An 18,778-nucleotide genomic window follows, 5' to 3' on the forward strand; every position below is an offset into this window, starting at 1 on the left:
GGTGCTCACACAGTGGTCAGGCCAAGCTGAGAATGATGAGTTGTGGACTTACCAGCCATCCTTTTGATTGGCTGGTTACTTTGTGTCTGAACACTCTGAAGCTACCAGCCATGACAGTAGTGGGGGTGGGGTTCATGGTAGAGTTGAGAAGGAGGATTATAAATGTGTGAACTCCAAGAGCATCTCCAAAGACATAAAGACAGAGGTAGTGGTCCTACATCTGTCTTTGAGTCCCCTTGGTCATACATCTTCAAACCTAAAGGATAATGATCTAGCCTGTCTCCAGTTATTGGGCAGCACAGAATTCATGCTGCCTATAAAGTGAGACCAAATCTCTAAATCACTGTTGTCTGTAGCCAGGAGTCTGCCTCTTAAAGAAGAGAGTGAAAAGAAAATCAATGTGTCTGAAACTTTAGCCTGTCTTCTTGGCTATCTGATCAGTTAAGATTCCCAGAATAAAAAGTAAAACGGAGATAATTGATAACCATTTTCAGCCTCCTCTGTTTCTCAGAAGTTGACAGTGTTTCCTAAGTGTGATCTTGGTCTTTCCCATTATACCCTTGTAAAATGGCAGGCAAATTTCCACACAAATTTCATTTGAGCTTTAATCTGCCCATCCAGCCTGTCTGTAAACAGCAACTGGCATGTCTTGACTCCAAAAGAAGTTTCTTCTTTAAAAAAATATTTTCACCCAGAGCTTCAATTATGTCACTTCCCTTTCAGACCAGTTGAACAGATTAATGCATGCTCATGGATTAAATTGAACTGATATTTTTTAATGGGAAGGGTAAATGATGTCTATGCATGTCTATCATGTGCTTTACTCTTAATGAAAAATATTTTAAAATGTATATTGTTACATCATTTTGAAATTCTTTTTTAAAAAATTATGATGAGCTGCATATCATGAAACTGTTTTCATCCTGCCATTCATTGCTCAAAAACCTTAGATGGCCACAATTTCTCATGTGCCTGACTTCTAAGAGCCTTACAAGCCCTCCCCTGTGTATCATGCCTTATTGCTTGGGTTGTCAAAATTGTAATCCCAGAAACATTTAGTCTTTACTGAAGCTCTAGATGTGAGGCATTGAAGAGAACCATTTTCTCTTTTTTCCATGGGCTGCATTCATACCTACCCATTTTTCAAGTTCTGCCTTCTTCCCTTACTTTCTAGCTCTGGTCCATCTCACTTTCTGAACTCTTAGAAGAATTTAGTCTGTATCTCTGATGGCTTCTTTTAATTGTATGTTTTCATGTATTTTTATGTTTTATACAGATTACTATTGTCTTTTCAAGGAGACAGAAACAGCTTCAGGGTAGAGCACTGTATCAGTTAGGAATGCATTTGCCTGCAAGTAACGAAAAAATCCCAACAACACACAAAAGACATTTATTATTCTCATATTACAAGAAATTTGGAGGCAGGTAGTCCAGGGCTGCTAACCCAAGGGTATTGTCGAGGAATTTACTTGGGGCTGTTTATTCCAGGGACTTTTTTATGTGTTTCTTTTGATAGAATTATGTCCCATACCACTTCTAGTTAGTAGAGAAGCTAGGAGGCCAAAGGCTTCACCTTTCAGCTACTATAGTACATGAAGGCAAGGAGGAGGCTTGGAATGACTGTCGAGTGAGCCTGCTGAGGGTAACTACCACAGGGCCACTGATATTGCTCATATTTTATCCTGCAGGTGTAATACACATTTGGCTGATAGGTTTTCAATTTGGCACATTATTTCTCTGCTATATCTTACCCTCATTTATTCCACTCTTTAGCACTTCTTCTCCATTTAAAAGATGAATACACAGTTCTAGAGGAGGTGGTAGTGGTAATGATCCTGGAAATAACTAATACTTGTTGGCCACTTACTATGCCAGGCAAGATTAAGCACTTAATATGTGCTTAAATTAGTAGACCAGTCTTAACCATCTTTCAGTCTTTTCGATCATCATGAGAAGGTTTACTAGAATGTCTGCCTCAGCTGACAAGCTGCGGAATCAAAAGATGCTAGTCATTTTGAATCCATAAACTCACCAATTCAGTCAACACTATTCTTTCTTCATATTTCTTGTGTACTTCTTTCTGCCTATCACCATCATCTATCTATGTTAATTTTGGTTTAGGGTTTTATTATTGTACCCACCTGTTTCGGTTCCCCTAGGTCTTTGTTGACCTTTTCATTCATTTACTCATTCATTCATTCATTCATATTGTTTTCTGGGCCCAGCCACATTTCAGATTGGCATATGCCAGTTGATATGGTGTCTCCCAAACTCCTGGCAGCCTACCTGACAATTCAGAATTGCTCCTGAGCCAGGCCATTGTTGCATGTAGCTCAGACCTGTGAGCCCAGCTTTCTGAAGAGATTAGCAAAGCATATCCAGCAACTTCTCAGTTGAGCATGCCAGAAGAATAAAATAAAACCAATAAATAGTTATTGAGCCACAAAATCAAAGGATTATAGCACTGGATGAAACCTTAGAGATCATCTCTTCCAATTTCCTCTTCGAGTTCTTTTTTTAAGTTGAGTGTGCTGTTCTTTTTATATTTTCATATTCTTTTCTAATAATATATTCACACAATACCCTTCACTTGATGAAAGAGAAACACGAAGGGCAGGATCACACAGCTATGGCCAGAAGCCAGAGTGTGCTGCTTGCCCATGCCCTTTTTTGAGGGACCATGTCTAAGGCTCTCCACTGGGGGGTGGGAGGGAGGAGGGATATGGAGGAAGAGGAGTGTGGAATGTGTTTAGAGTGTTCCAATATGGGATTATCATCACACATGAAAAGATTGGCAGGGATTATCAACACCATGGTACTGATGACTTTATCATCTTCCTCCTTCTCCAAATCTACCCCTACTGCATCCCCTGCCTCCCTCCTTGAGGGCAAACACCATATACTGCTCACTTCTTTCCTGTGTGGCACTTACTTCTGCTATGAAAAATCATTCCTTTATATAATTCTTTGTTTAATGTTCCCTTTCCTACACTGTAAACTCCATGATGATTGATAGATACTACGCCTGCCTATGACATCCCCAATTATTTGTTGGATTAATAAATTATCATAGTCATCCTAGACTTTTCCCTTTCAATCATAACCTACAACTTGAAAGTTTGTGTTCTATATGCTATTTATCTACTTGGAAAATCTCATGTTTGTCTTTTTGTCTTCATCCTTACCATACCTGCCTTAGTTTAGGGCCTCATCACCCTTTCTGTGGTTTTCTAAATGGTCTCTTTTATCCAGCCTCCTCACTCCTGCAGCTAGAGCTGTTTTTCTCAAATGAAAATTTCACTGAGTGCAGTGGCTCATGCCTGTACCCAGCAATTTGGGAGGTTGAGGTGTGCAGGTTGCTTGAGCCCAGGAGTCTGAGATGAGTCTGGGCAACATAGTGAAACCCTGACTCTACAAAAAGTACAAAAATTAGCCAGGTATGGTAGTGTGTGCCTGTGGTCCCAGCTACTTGGGAGGCTGAGGTGGTAGGATCACTTGAGCCCAGGAGGATGAGGCTGCAGTGAGCCATGATCGTGCCACTGTACTCCAGCCTGGGTAACAGAATGAAACCCTGTCTTAAAAAACAAAACAAAAAAAGAAAGAAAAGAAAGGAAAAGAAAAGAAAATTTGACCACCTGAATTATGTTTCATAATTCATATTATAATTCAAATTATGTCTAGCTTCAGTAGTGAAGATAGTGAATTTCTATTCAATCATTCATTTATTCATTCACTCAAGAGATAGCTTTGAGAGGCCATAGTTTGCTGGACTCTCTTTTGGGGGCTTTTTATGTAGAAGTCAACATAAAAGTTTGCTCTCAAAATGCTCACAGATTAGTGAGAATGGCTGATAAAAAACAAGATACAATTCTAAAATATGGACTTACACTTTGTGATGACTGTCAATGTGAAAGAAACAAGTAAGATGCTAAAATGGAGTTTGAATAGAGGGGCAGAAGGGGAGGGAGAGATGGTTTAGATAGATTAGGTAGGAAAAGCTTTTCTGGAAAGTGACGTTTCAGATGAGACCCCAAGGATCAGAAAGAGCTGTTTGTGTGAAGATGCAGAGGGCAAACTATTTGCACAGAAGAAACAACAGGACGAAGGCACTTTGGTGGGGAAGAACTTGCACTGCTTAGTCTGTGAATTGAGGGTGTTCATAAAGATATCTGAGTCCTTCAACTTCTACAAGTCAACCAATTAAGAACTTATGTTTAAACATAAAATATTGGTTTAAACAATGCATTTATAGTTGTTATTTTTTATTTTTTACTGTGTTTTTCCAACAATACTTGGTTAATAGTTTGGCCAAGGAATATTAGACTAGGTATGGAAATGAAAAGGAATTCAGACAGCTCAGTGCTTCAGACTGTGTGGGCTTATCAAATTGTAGCTTGACATCGTTTTTGGTGACTTAATATGCATCTTTGGGAATCTTTATCATTAGCCTCGTTAGCTACAGAGACTCTTTCCTGAGTGTAAATATTGATTTATGATTTTTAATTAATGGTCTCTCCTGGATTTTTCCAATGTTTATCAAATTTTGGGGCTTGTTTTGTATGCCAAATGAGGTTTATCAGCAAAGATACGGACTAAGAATTTTTAATATGGAACAATCACTGCAGTGTTGGTTAAGAAAATCTTGATCCCTGCCTTCATTCAAATTGCTATCTTAAAGAAAGAAACTAGACACACACACACACACACACACACACACACGAACACACACACACACAGTGAGGGCTGGTTGCTAGGAAGGTTTGCATATTCTTTTTTCTTTTTTTTTTGGAAACAGAATCTCACTCTGTTGCCTAGGCTGGAGTGCAGTGGCACAATCACAGCTCACTCCAACCTCAACCTCTCCGGACTCAAGCAATTCTCCCACCTCAGCCTCCTAAGTAGCTGAGACCATAGGCACCTACCACCACACCTGGCTTATTTTGGATTTTTTGGCAGAGACAGGGTTTTGTCATTTTGCCCAGGTTGATCTTGAATTCCTGGGCTCAAGACATCCACCAGCCTCAGCCTCCCAAAGTACTAGGACTGCAGGTGTGTGCCACCACGCCCGGTCACATTCTGTTTCTTGATCTTAAACAAGAGAGAATGCACCAATACAATTGATATTATTATAACTTCTGCAGTTAATAATAATACACTCCACATAATGTTTAGAAATTAGTTCATTTTATATATGAAAAACCTGACAATCTGCAAATGATCTTTTTCACATCCCATAGCAAATCAGAGAACAAAACTTGGAAATATTGCTCCTCCAAAAGAGTGGTCAGATCATAAGTAGAGAGTACTTTGTATACTTCTTCCCAAATCCCAGAGAGGTGAAATGTCTATATTCATTTCTTACCCTGCTTATTTATTGTATGAGAGGAAAATTAACAGATCTGCTTATTTTAAATATTTGGCTACAATTTAAAAAAGTCTTTTTAATGAAATATATTGAGCTGGGAACATGTAGTGTGCATACCTGGCCCAGTTGTTCCACGCCACACTTCATGAATGCTTTGTAGTATTAGTTCCTCTAGACTATTTGAATAATTATGAGTCAGACTAATGATTTCAGCCTCTCCTAATATTTAACTAGGGTATGTGATAAATTTCTTGGCTTTAATCTTATCTCTGTTTGGCCTTCAGCATTTTCTAGAATAAGTCCAATATTCTGATGCAAACGTGGGTCTCCTCTTAAAACAGAACACAACAAAACAAAATTCCTTAAAACAAATAGGCTGTAGTAAAATACCAACAGACATTCCTTAGCTCTAGAAAAGGGATTAGGCATTTTGGGAGGCTTAAATTTTGTGTCCTAAGAGCTAAGAAATAGAAACAGGAATATGGATTTTTGTTGGTATTTATTATATTCTGCCTTAGCTGCACATTTTTTCCTCAAAAATGAGCATTGAACAATATATTTAAATTTAATAAAAGGAATCCATGTTTTAATTTTTCATAATACAAGTGTGAGTTGGAATCAAGACCTCCATCATTTCTTGGTACTTTGGCTTCTCACTGGAACTTGAGTAGTGCAGGCCGGGCACTAATCATGGACCCAAAGACCTCACAAGGACTTACCTGACAGTCATCAAGAACAGACCTCAAGGAGCCCTGAAATCATGTCTTATCTGCTATGTAGGAGAACCCAGTTCTCCAGTAAATTTGAATTGGGACAGGCAAGAGTTTGTTATCAACGAGGTTCCTTTGATACTTAAAAGCATGTCAACTTGAGACCAGCAGCAGTGTTGTAGAGTGAAAATCAATGCCACAAATCCTGCCTGAAATTCACAACTGGCTATGTTTGTGGTTTTCTATGAACCTACTCCTGCAAAAAATGACGGCACACACAAGTATGAGATCAGCTAGATGTAAAAGACAAGTACTCCCTTAGTGTATGAGGAATATAATCCCACTGTCATTCCCATGCCTCTTCACTCTGGCCTCACAGACTATAGGATGTGCAGGAGGAATTTGGTTGAAACTGTTAACCTTAGTTACCTGCTCCAGAGCAGTGTAGGTGGGTGTGCCTCCTCTCCCTTCTCAGATACTCTGCACTCTCAGCTCAGCCCTAAATGGTGAAACTCTAGATAATAAAGCAAGAGCCTCAGCCACAGAGCGTAACTCTCCATCCAGACTGCTCACACCATAAAAATGTCGTGATGGAGCAACCTTTACTGCCCTGCATTGCCTACAGGTTTTCCATGTTTACCATGTGAACTCAGTGACAACATTTCTGTGGTATTTTGATTTTGATCACACATGAAGTAACAAATGCCCAAAACACTATGATATTGGTGAAAAGCTTACCAAACATCTTTCAAAAACCAACAACGCAAAAATAAGAATTTCAGCAACAACTAACAAAAGTATAGCTATTTGGATGTTCATTTTACCATTTGGAAAAAATGCCTCTTTTATATCATTTCTATCACATGACTGCTTGCGACAAAATTAGATTAAGAAAAATTACATAGAAAGTGTTTCTATATTTTATGGCGATCACAAGAAAGAACTATGAAAGTTGCCTTTGTATGGTAAGTTCCACAATTAGGATATAGTACAAAATATGGGCTGGCCACATGCTGGAAGAAAATGAGCCTGGGAATTGGGAGTGTTGCCAGGACAGCATTTTAAAATTACACACCTCCTGCAAATGTACGATGCTCATTCCTCTCCTTCTTCAAACTGATGATTCCTACCTAGTTCCCCAGATCGAGACCCGCTTCCCTAGAGTACTGAGGGAAAATGATTTCCTCACCTTCAGTTCATCGGTCATTGCAGCAGCATGCCCCTGAGAAGGAGTTTTAATATCCAGTTTGTTTTCCCTGAGAGCCAGTGCTTTAAAATTGAGTTCTATTGTCAAGCACATTTAACTTCTTGTCTCTAAATCTTTGGTGCAGCTGGGGCCCCTTTTAGAAGGTTGGTTTTCCCCAAATGATTGAGTGTCATCCTGAACGACATCACCCACAATGACCCCTTCATCTCTGCATCAAGTCAGGGGCCTACATTCCATTATCCTTGTTCAAGAGTCAAGAATCCCTAGTGGAAATGCAGTGTTCCTGGGAGCTGGGTTAATGTTAGCTAATGCCCCAGAGAGGATGATTTGGCCCAGGTGATTCTCCCAGAACTCAGGAGCTGCTGCTTAATAAGTTTGAAGGGGACCATCCAGAAGCTGGGTATGCAGGGTCATGACAAGGACCACCCCCCCATCGGGTGATGGCTGAAGGGACTGTCTTTGGGTTAGGGAAGATGGGGCTAAAATTTCAAAGGGGAAAGCGTGGAACCAAGAAAAGCTGGACCCAGGCAGTCCCCTTGCAAAATCCATTGCTCAGACAAAGAAACTTGGACCCCCAAGGAATTTAGTGACTTGCCAACACCCACATAGCAACTTTGTGGTGAGCTAAACGTAGCACAAGGTTCTCCTGACTTCCAGGGTATACTTGTTCCACTCTGCCGAAGCGTACCCTCCTTCGGGCATGGCAGATGTGGAGGCCTGCAGGCGGTGTTTGCTTCAGGGAAAAAACAAAACTAAACTAAACACCCAAAATGTGCTTTGGGTCCTTCACATTTCTAGCTACATCATTTTCTCTGCCAGAAAGGAAATGGTGAGTTAGACTACAATTTGAAATGATTTTATAGATCCAGCTCCATGAGAAGAGTTGTCACCTCCGCAATCTTATTCCAGATAAAATACCCTAAATCCTCCAGGATTTGTCTTTCATTCCTTACCTTCTGCTCCTCTGACCTGCAGTCGCCATCCCATTCGTTTTTATGGATGGATCATGGAAACCAGAAATACACACACAGCAAACACATCTGTCTTTTGGGTCAAAAGAAAAGGCACGTGTGTGCACGTGTGTGTATGTGCTCCTGTGTGTGCACGTGTTCCTGGGTGTGCATGTCACAATGCGAAGCAAGTTATGGGAGGACCAAAATTAACAAGATCTCCCACAAATACCTGGGTGTAAGATGGCCTTTATCCAACCCAGCAATTGTGCTGGAACCCCGTATTAGAGTCTCATTGTTCTTTGTTGCCTTTGTTTTAAGTTCAGCATGAACTGGTTTTTTTCTTTTTTGCTATAAAAAAATAAATCTGAAAACAATAAGTCTTGTTCATTGACATAAACCTGCTGTCGGTTCCTTGTGGGACCTATGCTGATAAAAACCAGGGAAAAACTATTTTATTTGCAATGCAAAGAATTTTTGCCTGTGGAGATTTTTGTAGTTCAACAGCAGTAAAGGTATGGATAGCAACCAAATAAGCTGTTAAAATCTATATGCCCCGCCCTCACCCTTCTCCCAGTCCCAAGAGACATAATTAAAACTCCAGAAAGTGAGAAGCTGTTACTAATACAAACGTAACTATTTAGTTCAACAGAATCATGCATTTACCAACTTCGTTTTTACTTCATTTTTAAAAATAGTTCAAGCTGAACTTTTTTTGCTCTTTCACATACAAAGGGCTTTTCTGCATGTTAATGCTTTAATACGATTTGCCAATCAGCCTGTTAATATCTGTCAAGGAATAAACATGCTGCTCGGCAATGGGGTAATACTTTTTATTAGGGCCTCTGTGTATACTTCAGATGTGAGCTTCACTCCTTCTGCTGAAAATGTTCCAATTGATTGCTCATGTATTAGTCTCATCTCAGTTCTGTTAACAAAGTTATTTGCAGTCCTAGCTGACTAAACTGTCCATCGTGAATTTTTGCATGCGATCAGAGTACAGATGGGAGCAGATGTAAATGGCATATGTAATAGCTAGCATATTTTTCAAGACGGATGAACACAAGCATGCTAAACCTTGGCCCAGAGTGTATACAGATCTGTTTAAGATATGCCACAAACAGACCGAAAGGAGGGTAGATTTACACACACACACACACACACACACACACACACACATACACACACACACACACACACACACACACACACACACACACACACACTTTGGGCTTGTCTAGCCCCAAACTTCTAAAGACCCTTTGAGAAAGCCAGTTCCTCGAGAATAAATTCTCAATTGTCGGGTCCTGAGGGTTTGCAGTGGCACCTGCATTGAACTTGTAGGTGTTAGGAATTTTTTTCTCTCGCTCAATTTGCGTAACAATGTGAGTATATCTAAGAATTCATAAACAGAGTCATAGATCTGCCCCTGGAACCAGCCTTCCTGGGAAATTCCAAAAACACTTGCAAATTCCCATAGGGAATCTTCCAGCTAAGTTTAGGGCATATTTGTCCAAGGTCACCGACAGGGTGAATTATATGGGTCAAATTTCTAGGTGTCTGTATGTGTCTGGCACTCCACTTCCATTCCAAACTGGCTAGAAAAGAATGTTTCATTTTTCCATTCACTTTCAGTGTCTGCCCTGTTCCCATAGTAACCTTTGGCTGTCACCCTCCCCCACCTTACACAGATAGATACACATCCTTTCTGAATTAAATGGAACTATGTGACCTAGGTTATTTAAGTCCTCCCTATCCTGTGTTTGCTCATCTGTAATAGGGTGATAATAGAAATACCTACTTCAACAGGTTGTTATGAGATTAAATGAGGTAAAGAAGCATCAGGTTTTACCACAATCACCATCACTACTTTGTGCTAGAGGCAAATCTCCATAAGAAAGTTGTCCCTTTAAGTCTCACGAATAGTTCACGGGTTTGGGAGGTGGGGGGGGGCGGAAGAAAAAAAAAAAACACACAAACCTGGAGTCCTGGCTGGGTGTGGTGGCTCATGCCTGGAATTCCAGCACTTTGGCAGGGCCAAGGCAGGAGGATCACTTGAGCTCAGGAGTTCAAGACCAGCATGGGCAACATAGGGATACCCCATCTCCACAAGAGATAATAATCTGCTGGGCATGGTGGTGTGTACCTATAGTCCAGCTGCTAGGGAGGCTGAGGTGGGAGAATTGTTTGGGCCCAAGAGGTCAAGGCTACAGTGAGCTAGGATCCCCTCACTGTACTCCAGCCTGGACAGCAGAACAAGATTCAGTGTCAAAGAAAGAAAAGGAAGGAAGGGAGGGAGGGGAGAAAGACAGAGAGGGAGAGAAAGAAAAAGAAAAGAAAAGAAAAAGAAAGAAAGAAAGAGAAAGAAAGAAAAAGGGAAAGGAAGGGAAGGGAAGGGAAGGGGAGTTCCTGTAATGTAGCTGAGTGTCTTGGGACAAGCAGACCTGGTGATGCCTGTGTCTCACACTCAGCCTTGGGCTGCCTGATGGCTTATCATCTTTCTTCAAAAGGTAGAAACCCTTTTGTCATTGCCCTTCCCTATTCCACAGTAGCACCAGAGGAAGTGTTTTCAGACTACCAGTGGGAATTTCAGATTATTTTGATGTAAACCCATTTTGGGGGGCCAGACTTTATGAATAAAATTGAGTCCCATTATGGTAAAAACACGACTCTATCTAGCGTAAGACCTTGTCGCGCCCCCAACGTTCCACTCCACTGCAAACTGGGAACAAAGAACATTATCTGTGAATGAACGTGGAGTGGGGTGAAGGTCAAGGAATTAAAACATTATGTTTCAATTTGAAATTTTGAATTTCAATTTGAAATGTTTCAATTTCAATTTGAAATTTCAATTTGAAATATTACAGATGTTTAAAAAGAAAGACAAATAAAAACCAGAAAGGTTCTAGTGCATCAATCTGCATCTAGATTTTTTCTCTATTAAAATTAAAAGTGCTTACTGACCTGCAGCATTAAGGTTTTTTATTATTATTATTTTCAAAGAGCTAGTTAGTTTTGTTGTCCCACCAATGTCAATTTCTACCAGTCTTTCTAGATTGCTCTTCCTTGAGAATGAGGATGAGTTTTATTTAGCACACAAAATCCAATGAGTGTTTATGCCAATTAGAGGAAAGGCATGTGAAGAGGCTCACAGATGGAAACTCTTGGCCAACAACGCGTACCTTGGCCAACTCTCTTTTCAGACGGAAGATCCCCAGTGCCGTTGTCAAGATAGGAATGTCCAGATCAAGTTCTGCTCTACCCTGATTGCAGCCCCCCAACCCTTGAGTCTTGTGGCTAGGTTTCGGCCCAGCCTTCAGCTGAGTAATAAAGAATAAGCCTAGAACAACTTGAGGCAATGGAAAGATGATGGCCAGCATTAAGAATAATTTTCTTTTCTTACCCTGCAATCTGTGGGTCCCTTTATATGATAATTACTATGGTGATAAAATCCTAATTACCTTTGAATCTTCATGAGGGAGAAGATTTCAGACTGGAAATGTAATCTCTCTGGATACTAACATAAAACTACAGTTGTTCTGTGGATGGTGATTTTACCTCCTTTTTGAAAAACCTGACGAAGTGGCTGGTTTGCTTGTGGGTTTTGAATAGAGCTGGTTGTTAGCATCATAGGATACTGTGCCCAATAGGGTGATTTTGCTGATCCCAGAATCTGTGTTGTGCATACACAGGACTCTTGTAAATGCCTGAGCTGATGTTAATTATAAAATACAGAAATGTGCAGAGAGACAGAGAATATTTAATCATATGTTATGATTGGAGATTTTTGTTTTTCTTAATGGTCAGAGGAAGAACTAAAATGCCTTATGATCAGTGTTTCTATGATGCTGGTATGTACTAGGAGATAAATGGATCTGCAAATGAGGCTTCTAGTGTTTGGAGAAAAACAGCTTTGCCAGTGTATTCTTTAATTTTACGTGTCAATTTGACTGGGCTGAGGGATGCCCAGATAGCTGATAAAGTATTCTTTCTGGGTATATGAGAGTGTTTTCAGTAGAAATTAGCATTTGGATCAGTAGACTGACTAAAGATCACTCTCACCAATCCAGGTGGGCCATCATCCAATCTGTTGAGGGCCTGTATGGAATGGAAAGACAGGGGAAAGGTGAATTTGCTCTCTGAGCTGAGGCACCCATCTTCTCCTGCCCTCAGACATCTGCTTCTGGTTCTCAGGTCTTGGAACTTGGGCTGGAACTTACACCACTGGCTCTGCTTCAGGGTTGAACTAGAACTACACCACCAGCATTCCTGGGCCTCCAGCTTGCAGACAGTAGATCATAGGACTTCTAAGCCCTCATTGTCATGTGAACCTGTCCCTCATAATAGATCTGTTTATCACTTTATTTTCTATCGGTTCTGTTTCTCTGGAGAACCCTGACCAGGAGCTAGAGAGTTAGGAAAACCTAAAATTTCCTCTTCAGTGAGAAATCCTCCCACTCTTATTTTTCCATGAGCAATTTTTCAGTCTAAAGATCCCGAGCAAACCTAGAGAAATCATTCCAGGTAGTCTAGTGGTTAGGGGGAAAAAAAACAAAAAACAATAGAAAGTGGAAGAGAGAAACATCAGTCACATCTTTCTCTAAAGGCCTGGTGCTGCCATCTCCTTAAATATTTTGAAGGAACAATTTGAGGTGATACCTGCTTTATCTTTCAAAGCCATTCCTACTTGCACCATCTCTGCACTGACTATGTTAACAGTGCAAAAGGTCATCCTCTGAGTGTCTTTGGATCAGGATTATTTCATGTGTTTTCAAGAGAGATAGTGCCGGTTACCATGACAGCATTAACCAAGGGTAACAGAGAACAAAGCTTTTAAACTTAGAAGAAAGAAATCGTCCAGAAAGGAAAGAATATTTTTGACATGGAAACCCAAAGGGCAGGTTGGAAATACCATTACAAATTGGAATGTGTTTTTTTTAATGTTCTTACTTATTTGTTTGTGGACTAAATCCTTTTGCAAATGAGATTTTTTTAAAATTGGGCTGCCACCATTATTTATTTTGCAACAAAGAGTGATTGTAAATTTTTTTTTAAGTAGCTACCAGTACAACAACAGGAGCAACAATAACAACACTCTTTGCATCTGGGCTTATTTCATTGGCCGAAAACTAGACTAACCTGTAAAAGATGTTTATAGAATGTGAAAATAACATAGGGGCAACACTGGTGATACATCAGTGGAGATGTATCTTGGTAATGAGAAGAAAAAGCTTACTCCTATTAAGCAGAAAAGGGGAATTTATTCAAAGATATTTGGACTCCCCGAATTAGCCAGAGACTGGAGGGAATCAATCACACCAAAGACGCAGAGATCAGAGTAGCTCCAGATGACCAGCAGTGATGGTGGCCAGTGGCCAGACACCAGGGCTTGCCAGCACTGGCCACTGGCCACTATCACTGCTGAACAGCATCGCAAACATGACACTAAAGGGCTCAGTCTTCCCTTTCTTGACCTCACTTGTCCTGGAGTCACAGACTAGGGTGGAGCATCCAATTGACCAAGCCTGCATTGTGTGCTCTGCTAAGACCTTATTCAACAGAAATTCCCCCCAAAAGAGGAAAGTAGATTAGATGCCGGATACCTCCCTAAAATGGCATGTGTTTAATATGGGTGGTATGATTAAAGATATTTTGCTAATTTCTGGTCCTAAACATGGGAGATAGAAGGCTTGCAGTAAACAAACAAAAAATCCAGCCTACTATTAGAAGGCATTGCTCTCTAATACTAAGACATTATTAGTACTTGTAATTCCGGAAATCTGCAACTTCTGGAGAAATTAAGAGCCAAGTTGGCCAGGATAATTCTTAGCTGATATAAATAAATCAAGATTGACAGACATAACTGCATTGTCTTTTTATTTCTTTAATGTAGGTCAGCATTGTCCAGTAGAACTTTCAGCAATAATGGAAATGTGGCTGGTGCAACTGAGGAACGGAATTTTAAAATCTTATTTAATTTTACCCAATTTGGGCCAGGCATAGTGGCTCACACCTATAATCCCAGCACTTTGGGAGGTTGAGACAGGAGGATCTCTTGAGCCCGGGAGTTCAAGACCAACCAGGGCAACATAGTGAGACCCCCAACTCTACAAAAAATAAAAATAAGAGAAAATGAAAAAGTACATAATTTAAGCTCAATTTGAATTTGACAATAACCACATATGGCTAGCAGCTACTGTATTGGACACAGCAGATCTAGATGAAATCTTATAAAAATTATAGCATCATAGCGCAGAGTTGGAAGGGATATTTGAGATTCCCATAGCAAGTTTGAAGTTATTTTTTAATGCAAAGTATGTTGAATGCAAGATAATTAGGTTTATACCTGGTGAGAGGGTCTGGGAGGGTATAGAGACTGTCATTCTCAGGGGTAAGATAAATGATAACTGGATCATAAAGAATTTATGTTGAAAAAGGACCACTGATTAGCACCAAAGTGTGTGATTTCTCTTGATAGTCTTTTATTTGAAGAGGAGATATAAAGACAATGGGATTTAGCCTTTAAAAAAAGAGTATCCAACTCAATTTACAAACATAAATATGGGTGTAAGACAATGAACAGGCTGTATTGCCCTCGACGCTGAACCTCTTGAGATATAAAGAGGAATAGGAAGATGATAACTTTGGCCGGGTGCTGTGGCTCACACCTGTAATCCCAGCATTTTGGGAGGCTTAGGCAGGAGGATTGCTTGAGCTCAGGAGTTCAAGACCAGCCTGGGAAACATAGTGAGACCTCATCTCCACTGCAAATAAAAATAAAAAAATTAGCTGGGCTTGCTGGTGCATGCCCGTAGTCTCAGCTGCTCAAGAGGCTGAGGTGGGAGGATTGTTTGAACCCAAGAGATTGAAGCTGCTGTGAGCTATGATCATGCTACTGCACTCCAGCCTGGGTAACAGAGTGAGACCCTGTCTAAAGAAAAAAAAATGATAATAACTTTGAAAAGGTGCTATTAAATTTATTACTAAAATATTACTGAGAATTTCCATAATATACTTAAAGACTCTTTTATTTAAAAACAAAACCAAACCAAAGGAAGCCTGTGCTTTTCTGAAGTCTCTCTTCTTTTGCTCTCTTTCCAATTAAAGCTATGCCTTAAAAGCTTTAATGTACCAATAAAGGTTTTGTGCTTTTGGAATCTAAATAGAGCTTTTCTGGATGACGAGCAACATTAGGCAGTTACACCCCACCAGAGAGGAAGGGACTGGTTTTCGTAGGTGTGCAGAAAGCCCACAGTGGTTTCCCTGGAAGACATAAATAAATTATAAAGGTAACTTCACATATGTGGTCAAAGGTGAACTATATACGAAGCAGGCAGTTGAAATCTCTGTGATTCCTGGCCACCAGCAAGATTTTCCAAAGAAAGGAAGCCACCAAAACGCCTTCAACCTAGGACAGGAATTGGTAAACCATGGCCCATGGGCCAAATTCAGCCTGCCACCTGTTTTGTATGTCCCACAAGCTAAGAATAGTTTCTACATTTGTAAATGGTTGGAAAGATAGAAAGAATGGTATTTCATGCCATGTAAAACTCAAATGAATTCAAATGTCAGTATCCACAAATAAAGTTTTATTGGAACACAGCCCCATCCATTCATTGATGTATTGTCTATGGCAGCTGAGTGGAGCAGTTGCAATGGAGAACAGATGGCCTGTGAAGATGAAAATATTTACTATCTGGCACTTTACAAAAAAGGTGTGCCAACCTCTGACCTTGCAGATGACATATAGTATGGGTCATACTCCAAGCCACCAGAGAGTATTCAACCCGCTTGGAATGTATTTGATTCAGCATAGAAAGGATAGTATTGCCTTTCATTTGAGACCTTTTTTCATCATTCTCCCAATAAATGCTACTTGGTTTTAGGAATGGACCATATCTTATTATCTCTTATATTCTGTGTAGTTTTTAGAAATAGAGGGTGAACAATAATTTTTGATGAATGATTAAATGCATGGATGAATGAATAAATAAATTATGTTTGGAATGACTTACCTTTTCATTATTATCTCATATGAAACATCAGGATTATAATACTTTCATGAAGTAATGAGCTAAATAGTCAGTTGATTACTAGAAAACACTTAGGACAATATCAAGAACAGTAAAGTGTCACAGAAGAAGCTCTTGCAATTGAAAGCCACCCTTTGAAACATGCAGACTCATGGCCATGTCACAAGGAATGTGCAAAACCGGTAGATAACGTTCTCCAATTCCCATTTACATCTGCCATTTACATCTGTTGAATTGTGTACACACCAATAGTCCCCAGTATCTGCTAATCACTGTTATACTTCATACTGAAAACACATAATCTAATGAAACATTTGAAAAATTCTGTGTCCAGAATAGAGAAATGGAAAGGGTAATATTTGTTAAACACCTTCTTTGTGTCAGGTGCTGACTTGGGCATTTCACATACACCTTGAAACTCAGATTCTCTGGAACAAGATTTTCTGTCTTAAGCATTCTTGGTAAATTGTATCTACTTGTAGCCATGGAGTGGGACTGTGGCCCAGCTGATCTGCTTGGTTTTGTTGTTGTTGTTGTTGTTTTGCTGTCTTCATAAAGCAGTATTGATTGCCTTGGTCAAATCAATTGTGTGGCCATTTCCATTTACACATCATTTAGCTGCCTGAACTGATTACTTCTGCCAGGACACAGTCATGCCATTTCAATCACACAGATCCAGATAGTCTAAAATCCTTCAAGTGGAAGGCTAAAACATCACAACACCAGGCTACTAAGAATTAGCCTAGTGCTTCCCCCCCCAACCTTCCATAGGAAATTAATGTTCAGATTAGAAGGAAACAAATCATCATAAGGTTATTTTGTTCAATGATATAAAATAAAGCTGAAATTTCTGAACTACATATTTCTTAATAGCAAAGAAAAAGAATATTACCAATTATTTTCCAAACTAAGTATGTACTCATCTGTAGTGGTAGCAGATGGCTCTTTAGATCTCAAATTTAATTATCTTTTTTTAAAAAAAGAGACAACAAATGGTGATTTTAGTCATCTTTGATTATTGGACATTGGCATATTGGATGAAAGTTTTCTGATGTGTTTACTTGGTTCACATAAAGATGGCAGGGGTCTGTGCCCTAGAAAAGCCCAAGTACTATGATTAGTGGTAACAGAACGCCTTTTACAGGTTATTTTCAGGAATGGCAGCAATCCAACATTGGCAGTGGTAGTAAAAGGGAGAATGGGAATATAAAGACAGTTCATTGCTAGAGGACAGGATTTTGTTTTTACTATTTTTTTTTTCAATTAATAGGAAAAGTGGGTTTGCACCTTCTGGCAAATTAACCTGTAAAACCAATATATCTTTGAACAAATATACTTTAGCATATGCCAGGCAATTTTTATTGAAAATCATAGTAATGACTTCAGGCCAATATAGAAGAATACTACTGTTGCTGTCCTTTCAGAATGTGATGGAGATATGCTAAAAATAATACAAAGGGCTGTAAATGCATTCTTGAGGAAAGGGCCAAATGGAGAGAAAGCATTTCCCACCAAATATGTTCAAAAAGTGACCTAGCCAGGAGCCTTGTTAATGTCATAGCAGCATATAGAATAAGCCTTAAATGAACTTGAAACACAGGTTTAAGAAAGACTTCTGGAGCCAGGCGTGGTGGCTCATGCCTGTAATCTCAGCACTTTGAGAGGCCAAGGTGGCAGGATCGCTTGAGCCCAGGAGTTTGAGACCAGCCTGGGCAACAAAGTGAGACCCCATCTCTACAAAAAAATTAAAATAAAGACTTCTGCACCTTTCTATTTCTGTTTCAACTTTTCCTGGTCCTCTTTCTTTCGCCGGGCACTTGATACCAACATGTGTCAGACGTAAGCTTTTGCTGAACTTTCTTTCCTCCTATCCAAATGCACCTATGTTTTCAAGGTGCTGTTTTGCATTCTTAACTGTGCATATTACATTTTGATTTTAATTTTAATTTTATTCTTTTATTGGAAGTGCTACACCTGTCTTTTGCACTTTCACTATTTCAAGCTTTCGTAAACTCATGGTTCTAGGTAGCATGGTAGAGGAAGCACCGCTAGGTAGGAATCATGAGAGCTGAATTCCAGTTCTGGCTCTGTGACTTTCTACCTGTCTGAGCCTCAGCTTCCTCACTTGTAAAACAGGATAAATAATGTTTGACCTACTGGCTTTTGGTGGTTAAAAGTGAAAGATATTGACATTATTATTATTAGAAGTCTAAACAAATGTGTTAAAATAGCCAAATTATAAATTTTGGCAATGGAGTAATCTCTTACTCCCAAAATAATTAATAAAAAAATTTTATTTTAAGGTAAACTGATAGCCATATTTCAATTTTTATATGAATTTCTCATATCTAATAGTTTATATTAATGACTTTTTCTACTCTCAATATTAGTTATTAAAATTAGAATAACAGGGTAGCATTTCATAATTTATAATGTCATAATTTCACTCCTACTGTGAAAGCTCCTATTTTCAAATTGCTTTAAGGTAATAATGGAAGTTTTGGTTTCACACT

General features: G+C 39.5%; 1 protein-coding gene across 11 annotated transcripts in view, besides 2 other annotated features; it reads left to right on the top strand.

Moving 5' to 3' along the window:
• The window catches only part of CREB5 (cAMP responsive element binding protein 5), a 526,574-nt gene that overhangs the window by 334,255 nt on the left and 173,541 nt on the right, over window positions 1-18,778 (top strand). The gene's annotated exons all lie outside the window — the stretch shown is intronic.
• Window positions 9,682-10,182: an enhancer, noted in NCBI's record as "H3K4me1 hESC enhancer chr7:28682874-28683374 (GRCh37/hg19 assembly coordinates)". NCBI's record gives its function as "activates a minimal SCP1, AML or CMV promoter by ChIP-STARR-seq in primed H9 embryonic stem cells {active_cell/tissue: H9 hESC(primed)}" and the evidence as "EXISTENCE:reporter gene assay evidence [ECO:0000049][PMID:30033119]".
• Window positions 10,183-10,683: an enhancer, noted in NCBI's record as "H3K4me1 hESC enhancer chr7:28683375-28683875 (GRCh37/hg19 assembly coordinates)". NCBI's record gives its function as "activates a minimal SCP1, AML or CMV promoter by ChIP-STARR-seq in naive and primed H9 embryonic stem cells {active_cell/tissue: H9 hESC(naive and primed)}" and the evidence as "EXISTENCE:reporter gene assay evidence [ECO:0000049][PMID:30033119]".

The sequence above is a fragment of the Homo sapiens genome, chromosome 7 (assembly GCF_000001405.40).
Source record: "Homo sapiens chromosome 7, GRCh38.p14 Primary Assembly".
In the NCBI taxonomy this organism is placed as follows: domain Eukaryota; kingdom Metazoa; phylum Chordata; class Mammalia; order Primates; family Hominidae; genus Homo; species Homo sapiens.